A 9,331-nucleotide genomic window follows, 5' to 3' on the forward strand; every position below is an offset into this window, starting at 1 on the left:
GTTTGAAACAAAACAAAAGATTAGATTTGGACCTACAGACTTCCAGTCTGCTTGGCTTCCTAAGCTTACACCTTAACATCCCCCCTCTGCTTCAAACATGTAGCAATGATAGATAGAAAGTTTAAACAAGAAAACTAACCAGACATAGCTGTCATTCAAAGCAAGAGGAATATCTCCTTGGCCCCCAAATGTATAGAAAGGAATGAGAATCAGTGCATGAGGCTGAAGCCACATCTTTCTGAATTCTACTTTGGAAGCAGGCAGCGGCAACCTGGAGTTCAGCTCCTCTGGCATACTGGGGCCCGAAATTGTCCTGCCAAGGGGAAACACCAAAACCAGGCTCATTACTTGAAAACTGATTTCCAACTGGGGATGATTTTACTCCCCAGGGGACATTTGACTATGCCTGGAGACATTTTTGTTTGTCATAACTTGGCAGGGGTGTGGGGGTGCTATTGGCATCTAGTGGGCAGAATCTAGGTATGCTGCTAAACATCCTGAAAAGCACAGGACAACCCCCACAACAAAGAATTATCCAGGTCAAAATAGCCTTCCTACCAAGGTGAAAAAGCCCCGACTAAAGGGTGAGGCGGGCCTTCCTACTAAAAGGAGACTGATGAAGTTGTCTTGGGCCACAGCCCGAAACTACATCTTTTAAAAATTATTTATTTTTGCTAATTGACAAGTAAAAGTATGTGTGTGTATGTGTGTGTGTGTGTGTGTGTGTATGTATGTATGTATGTATGTATATACTTATATATGGTGTATGAGATGATGTTTATATAATATACAAATATACACACAGGCACATTGTGGAATAGTTACATTAAGCTATTTAACATATGCATTACCTCACATACTTATTTCCTTGTAGTGAGAACACAAAAATCTCTTTTGGCAATTTTCAAATATATAATGTATTATAATTAAATCTAGTAGCCATGATGTACAATAGATCTCTTGAACTTATTTCTTCTAACTGAAATTTGGTGTCCTTTTACTTCCATCCCTCAGCCTCTAGTAATCTCCATTTTACTCTCTGTTTCTATGAGTTTGACTTTTCTAACACTCCACACATAAGATTCTATGATACTTGTCTTTCTGTGCCTGGTTTATTTCACTTAACATAATGTCCTCCAAGTTCATCAGTGTTGTTGCAAATGGCAAGATTTTCTTCTTTTGTAATGGAGAATAGTATTCCAGCGTGTGTGTTTGTGTGTGTGTGTGTGTGTGTGTATCACATTTTCTTTGTTTATTCATCCACTAGTGAAAACTTAGGTTGATTCCATATCTTGGCTGTTGTGAATAATGCAATGAACATGGTAGTGCAGATGTCTCTTTGACAACTGGTTTTAATTCCTTTGGATATATACTAAAGTGGGATTGCTGGGTTGTGGATCTTCCATAATATCTTCCATTATGGCCATGCTTGTTTACATTCCTAGCAACGGTGGACAAAGATTCCCTTTTCTTCACATTCTTGCCAACGCTTGTTACTTTTTGTCTTCTTAGTAATAGCCATTCTAATAGGTGTGAGGTGATATCTCATTGTGATTTTAATTTGCGTTTCTCTAATGATTAGTGATGTTGAGCATTTTTTCATATATTTGGCCATTTGTATGTCTTCTTTTGAGAAATGTCTGCTCAGGTCTCTTTATAGGGTTATTTGCTTTCTTGCTATTGAATTGTTCGAGTTCCTTATGCATTCTGGATATTAACCCTTTATTAGCTGTAGGTTTGCAAATATATTCTCTCATTTTATAGGTTGTCTCTTCACTCTGCTCATTCCTTCCTTGGTTGTACAGAGGCTTTTTAGTTTGACGTACTCTTATTAGACTATTTTGCTTTTGTTGCCTATGCTTTTGGCATCTTACTAAAAAAAATTTGCCCTGACAAATGTCATGGAGATTTTCTCCTATGTTTTCTTGAAATAGTTTTAATTTTAGGTCTTACATTTAAGTCTTTAATCTGGTTGCAGTTGATTTTTGTGTATAGTGTGATAAGCATGTCTCATTTCTTTCTTCTGCATGTGGATATTCAGTTTTTCCAGCACCATTTATTGATAAGACTATCCTTTCCCCATTTTGTATTCTTCACATCTTTGTTGAAAATCAACTGACCAAATGTATTGATTTATTTTGGGCGTTTCTCTCCTGTTTCATTGGTCTATGTGTCTGTTTTTATGTTAGTAACCATGTTGTTTTACTTACTATAGCTTTGTAGTAGATTTTCAAATAAGGTAGTATGATGCCTCCAGTTTTGATCTTTTTTTGCTCCAGATTGCTTTGGCTATTAGGTTGATTTGTGGTTATCCAATACAAATTTTAGGATAGCTTTTATTATTTCTGTAAAAATGCCATTGGAATTTTGATAATGATTGCATTGAATATACAGATTACTTTGGGTAGTATGGACATTTGAACAATATTATTGCAATCTATGAACCTGAGGTATCTTTCTTTCTATTTGTGTTTATTTCTTTCATCAGTGTTTAATGGTTTTCAATGTACTTATCTTTCATCTTTTTGGTTAAATGTATTCCTAAGTATTTTTTGTAGCTATTATAAATGGGATTGTTTGCTTGATTTCTTTTTCAGATAGTTTGTTGTTAGTGTATAGAAACATTACTGATTTTGTATGTTGATTTTGTGTCCTGCAACTTTACTGACTTAATTTATTAGTTCTAATAGTTTCTTTGTGGGAGTCTTTAGGGTTTTCTATATATAAAAGAAATGAGAGTTTTCTATACATAAAAGAAAAAATGAGTCAAAGTGAAAATATTAATTTATTTGAACTTGTATCACTGTTTTCAGATAAAAACTGTTAGTGACTGGTATGGTTTTTTCAGCATATCCTGACATACAAAAAGCCAGACACACAAATGTCATCTGTAAACAGAGACAATTTAACTTCTTCACTATCAAGTATGATGTTAACTATGAGCTTGTTGTATACGGCTTTGACAATCTTTTATTTGTCCATAGGCCTAGAGAGACACCTAGAAAGTTGTCTATTGAACATCAATGTTGATTTGAGAAACTGTGGTGATTTTCTAAATTCCCTGTTATAACTTGATTTATTCGTGAGCAGGCATCACTTTTACAAAAACAATGCATTCTTTATTTTTCAATTTGTTTATTGCTTTAAGTATGGTGATTGCAAAGAATTTGTGCTTAGACAAAATATCACCTAGAGAGTAATTTTGTTTTGTGTGTTTTAATCAGACATATTGGTGAATAAGGAATCAACCCTTAGCTACTTTTAAAGTATAAGTAATTTGGATATTGGAAATGAACTCTCTGCTTTGAATCCAACTGAAGAGCAAGGTTTACCAAATCTCTGCTCTCTCCATTAGTGGGAAGAATGACGAGGCAGCCCAGGGCATGTTCATGGAAAGCAAATGATATGATTTCCCCATTTAGCCACAGTTGACTAATTATGTTAATTGTAAGACTGCAGGAGAGCTGCAGGGAGTAAGCAACTCCCCTTCAGCATGAAGACTTAAATTTTACTCTAAGAACTAGTTTTAAGTTGCTAATCAGAGGCAAAGAATGAAATATTATAGTTATTTCTTTACCTATAATAGATATATTGCCAAGAGAAGAGAGAAAATTGGTTGGGTAGTCATGAGACTCGATCCTAAGATTAAGTGAGAAGCCTTTCAACAAAAGACTGTAGAAACAGCACTTAAAACCAGAGTAAACTCAAATATTTGTAGTTGGTATACTTTCAGTGGGTGTGTCAATACTTTGAAAACTATTGTCCTCACTAATTGATAAATTGTACAATGTTTCTCATCATGCTCTGTTTTTTCTCTTGATGCTATCTTTTCCTTTCTCCAATTCAACTGATGTGGACTTTTTCTTGGCAAATGAGTCACAATAAAATTACTAATTTATTTGAACTGATTTCACTGTTCTTAAGATGAAAACGGCTAGTGTGTTGGTGTGATTTTCCAGCATATGCTGATATACACACAAAAAACCGTAATATTTTTGATGCTAGTGATTGTGAAGGAGAGTGGCATTTTGGGTTAGAACTTATGTCCTCCTGTTGTGTGGTTTTTTATTGTGGAGGCTCTCCTTGTTAGGATGACCACTGAATGCTTTTACTTTTCAAAGGCACTCTTTATGGTTTTAAATCACGAACTTATAAATAAGCAATTGCAACCTTTTACTAATATGGTTTTCTGCTGCTTTGCGTTGTAAAGGTAAACAATACTAGCTACATTATTTGTTAAAGTCTTTCACAGGCTATGCTAGAGACCTAACTAATACCTCTAACATTATCTTAGGAGGAAAATGGGCTTGAATTTCAAGTTCAAGTTTACAAATGACAGTTTGGAACACAAATCTCTTTAAAACTGTGGATCATTTAAAAAAAAAAAAAGGTAGAGCTCTGTATTCAGTTTATACTGAACAGGTATTATGGGCACGGTATATCAGGAGGAAACAAAATATCTACCCCGGGGGAGAATACAACCTGTTAAGGAACTTGTAATTTAATGAAAACATTAATAAGATATAACAATGTTATCTTATAATGTTTCGAGTGCTAAATGGGTTGTATCGAATATACATGTTATTAAAGGTCAGACTCATGAAATTATTCAACTGAGAGAATATACTGCAGTCTCTCCAGACTTGCCTTTCTTAAATTACTTGCCGTGTACTCTCTTGTATCAGGAAGGAACTGTACATGGAAAATGTTTAAAAATTATTTCCCTTACTGAAATTATGAAGAGTCTTCCCATGGGAGTAAAAACATGAACTATAGATCTCACTTGCTTATGCTATTATAATTATATATTTTTACATATTGCATGTAATGAGTATTTATTGATTTGTGGTGGGTGGAAAGGATACCTATGAACCCTTTTCTAACAACAGTTTGCAGAAGTCATTTGGAGCTGCATTATAACTTGTATTCAATATAAGTTTCACACAGTTATGAAGTACAAGAGGTCAGAGAATTACTCTGGTAAATTTTCTCCAGGAGAATGACACCTTGGTTCTTCTCTTTTTTCTTCCTCTGCTCTTCCAGGGAGTATATGACTTATGTTTTTACAGTAGGTCCATGTGACAATAAGGCATTTGTTATTTTGGATACTGGTAGGGCTGATTGTAGAAAACCTCAAAATAGGTATCATGTATTCCCTCAATAGTTTCTTTTTAGAGTCCTCTTCATGCCTTTCAGTATCTTTCTTGTTAGCATTTTCCATTGTAAATATACAGGGGAAAGACATAGGCATCCAGGGCAAGCTCAGCTCTTCCATCTTTCCTAGAACTCAACCCTTTGGTAGTAATCAACATTCATTCTCCTTGCTTTCCTCTGTTTCAAGAGAGTCCTAATTTGGTTTAGGCATTTATCCTTGGCACATTGGCCATTTGGTTCAGGAGAGGGTGACCTACCCTCAGTCCCTGAGAGTAGATTCTGATTGGTCTAACCAGTCATGGCAATTTCAGTTGCCTTGCCAATGACTGGTTCAGGTACTGCCTTGTGATATGTTTTGGGCCAAAGCTATGTGAATAAAAGTGTTCTATGGGCTTTTAGGAAAAGCTTCCTTGTTCTTACAAGAAGACACAAGAAAAATATGGCTTATATTCTGTCTAGAAATATTGTCATGCTTGCATGTGACACCTATGACCTGGAGTGGGTACAAAGGCTGGGCACAGAGCCAATACATGAATGAGAGGAAAGCCTAGAGAGTCACAGGAAGATAGAGGTATAGCAGGGGTTAGCAACTATTTTTCTGTAAAGGTCCAGATAATAAATATTTTGGGCTTTGTGGGCTATGTGATCTGTGTCACAACTACTCATCTCTCTTGTTGCAGCACAGAACAATACATAAATTAATGTCCTTGGCTGTGTATTACATAAACAATAAATTAATGAATGGTCTTGGCTGTGTTCCAATAAAATATTATTTACAAAGAAAAGTAGTAGGCCAGATTTGGCCTGCGGGTTGTAGTTTGCAGAGCTGCAAACCAGAACCCAGTTTGGTATGTGTCTAGAACTCCTCTGAATGTACACTTCTTGATATGTGAAAATTTAAATTGTCTAACTGATTAAGGCAGTTGCATCTGTGTTTTTTGCTACTTGAAGCCAAAGCATCCTTAGAATTATTATCTTGGGTAAGGGAATAAGACTTGTCTTCTCTGCTGTGGAGTAATTCCTGTATTGCAAAAGAAGCTTTCTGAAAACAATGTCATTGTCTTTGTTGTTTAACTGACTTTTGCTTCTGATGCCTGGAATCTAAGGCTTGATCAGAGGTGAGCAGAACCCTAAATTGGTAGAAGACTAACTAGTTATTCTAGGACGAATTAGCCCTTATGGAGAATCCTAAGTGTGATATGGCTTGGCTCTGTGACCCCACACAAATCTCACCTTGAATTGTCATGATCCCCATGTGTCAAAGGTGGGACCAGGTGGAGATAATTGAATCATGGGGATGGTTTCTCCCATGCTGTTCTCGTGAGAGTGAGTGAGTTCTCACAAGATCTGATGGTTTTATAAGGGGTTTCCCTCTTTGCTTGGCGCTCATTCTCTATCCGCCTGCCCTGTGAAGAGGTGCCTTCTACCACAATTGTAAGTTTCCTCAGGCCTCCCCAGCCATGTGGAACTGTAAGTCAATTAAACCTCTCTTTTAATCAGTTACCCAGTCTCAGGTATTTCTTCATAACAGCATGAGAATGGGTTAATACAAACTGTCATTGTGTTAGAAGCTGCTCACCTTGCTCATACAGCCAGGCACAGTGTGTTTTACTGGTTGTGTACTCTGATTGGTGTTTTGATGACTACTGAGCACTCTAGACATGGATACTCCCATTATCTTCCCTCATTGAAAATCTGAACATGACAGCTTCGCCACTCCCCATTGGTGTGTCTCTTGTGAACTTGATAGGGCATTTGAAAAGTTAATGTAAATACTATTTAGAAACGGTGAAAAATGTTTCTGTGAAAGAGGAGAGTATTGATTCCTTGGGAAAGACATAATTAAGATCCTCTGTGATTAAGTCTTTCCTGGCTTGGTCACTTCTTGCTTCTAGCTTTGGTGTAAATCTTCATAATGTAACTATGAAGTTTGTAATTGAATTCTTCTGACCACTTTGGAGTATACCAGGAAGGTTTTAATTACTTTTTATGGATTATGGTCTATATTTCCTCAGGGGCTGCCTCTTTTGAGTAATTCCAGGCTTTTGAATTACATGCTGTTATCCTTAAAATAGCAGTTATTCTAGGCTATTGTTATTTAATTGACTCTTCCTCTCTCTCCCCTTTTCATATTGTATTCTTAACTGAGTGTAGAATCTATTTGAGAACCATTGTGTAGGAGGTCCGAGTACTATTAATTATTTTGAAATAGAGGAAAGCAAAAGTAAGGAAAGGAGGTATATAAGAAAGAAAACTTAATGGTAAAGACAATGAAAGAAATCTGTTAGAACTTTCAAAACTCAAAAATGCCTAAGAAATCTAATAAAGTGAGACCCTGACCAACCAATCTTCAATCTTCCTTCTTGAGGTTACAACACACACACCCCTCTGCACTCAGGGTGGGAGCCACACTCCTTCCCTCTTATTCTACTCCTCAGATCAGCTCCATTTGTCCTCCAGGTATTCAGTTAAATTGCCTTTCTCAGATACAGTGTATCTCAGATGATTAAAAATGGTGAAAAATGTTAGTGTCTGCTTGTATTATACCTACTAAGTAACATATCCTTCTATGAGAATGAAGATTTTACCATGCCATATCTTCTCTTCTTGCAAAATTAGAATCACAGTTACTGTAAGATCAGGAATGGCAACCAGAAGAGAAATTCCTTGAGAATCAATAGCTTATCTTCCTATGGCCTTGTAGGAGTCCTAGCATGTACCTGAGTAGCGAAATTTAGAATTGTTTTTTCTTTTTCATGGATCTGAAGCTCAGTTTTTGTCTTCTCTACTTGTACCCACCCTGGAAACACTTAGATTTCTGAAATGACTAGGTAGAAGGGATAGTTGCAGTCTAGGGTATGAAAACAAGAATACAAAAACAAAAACCAAACATTAAGTGTTATCCAATACTTGATCTCATCTTTAAATTCTCAGGGGAGTTTATTTGATAAATTAGAATTCAGTAAATTTGAATTTGGTCTGCTATGAAAAGTGGAAAAGGAAAGAATAACGTTAAATATCAGACAGCAAGAAACAGCCTTGGCTGACTGCAACATTTTTTCTCTTCCAAAGTCTAGATGCTCCCTAGCTTATAGTGACACCAGGCAACAGCACCCCCCACTGTTTTTTTCTGTAGTTCTTTATTTTGGATTTTACTAGTTTTTGATGCCTCCAAGGCTAAGAAGTTTGAATTAATTGAATTAAACAAAAGAATGAAAATGTTTTAGTTCATTGGAATTTTTCGTTAGAAATCAAAATATAAATTTTGCCATTGGAAATGGTGGTTTTGTGAACAGTTTTGTTTTCCCTAAGCATATCCAGCCACTGGGTGTGGGGATGGGAGATGGGGAAGGAAATGATCATAGTCTAGGGGGTGTTTTTTCCCTAAAGTGAGATAATCTCTATTTGGTCAATAAAAAACAACTTTCAATTCACTCTCCCCACTTTATTCTTGATAAGCACAGATAAATTCAGAGTTAAAAATTACTTGTCTATTATCTTTGGGAGGATTAAGTATAATACTTTTTTCATGTTTATTAAAATCTCATTTCAACACACTGTGGTGGGAGCTGAAGAAATATTTGTCAGCATAAGGAGGCTGGTCTTCTAAGACTTATTCCAGTTTTCCTTCCATTCCTGCATATCCCAATTCTCTGCTGTCTCTCTCACTAAACATGCCAGAATTTAGGTACAGTGTATATCCTGAAAAGACTTAAGTATGTATTTTGTATGGCACTTGAGAATCTGATAAAACAGTTATGTTTTAATCCAAGACTGAGTTGAAATTGTAAACACACGTATTATCAGTTCTCGGAGGGAAATGAATCTCCTGTCGTTGGAGATACTATTTTATTTTCTGATGTTCTTAATGTTCCTAAATGGAACACTCAGATTAGAGTATAACATGATAAAAAGAGAATGGGAACTGTAAGAAAACATTTTAAATGGTCCATTTTCAAGGCATGATAAATCTAAGCACTGGCAGCCAGCCTGTGGATGCAACAAGCCACACAGCTCCTGCTCCTAGAAAGTCACGATAAGCGAACAGAATGTAGACGAGGGGTCAGCCCATAAAAGAGAAGAAAGTTTCATTATTGGGAAATGAAAACTTCAGCAGAGAAGGGGACGGGGTATAATCTTATAAGGGGGATAATGAAGCTTAGGCGACATCCGAGAA

This window comes from Homo sapiens, chromosome 5, assembly GCF_000001405.40.
Source record: "Homo sapiens chromosome 5, GRCh38.p14 Primary Assembly".
Lineage (NCBI taxonomy): Eukaryota > Metazoa > Chordata > Mammalia > Primates > Hominidae > Homo > Homo sapiens.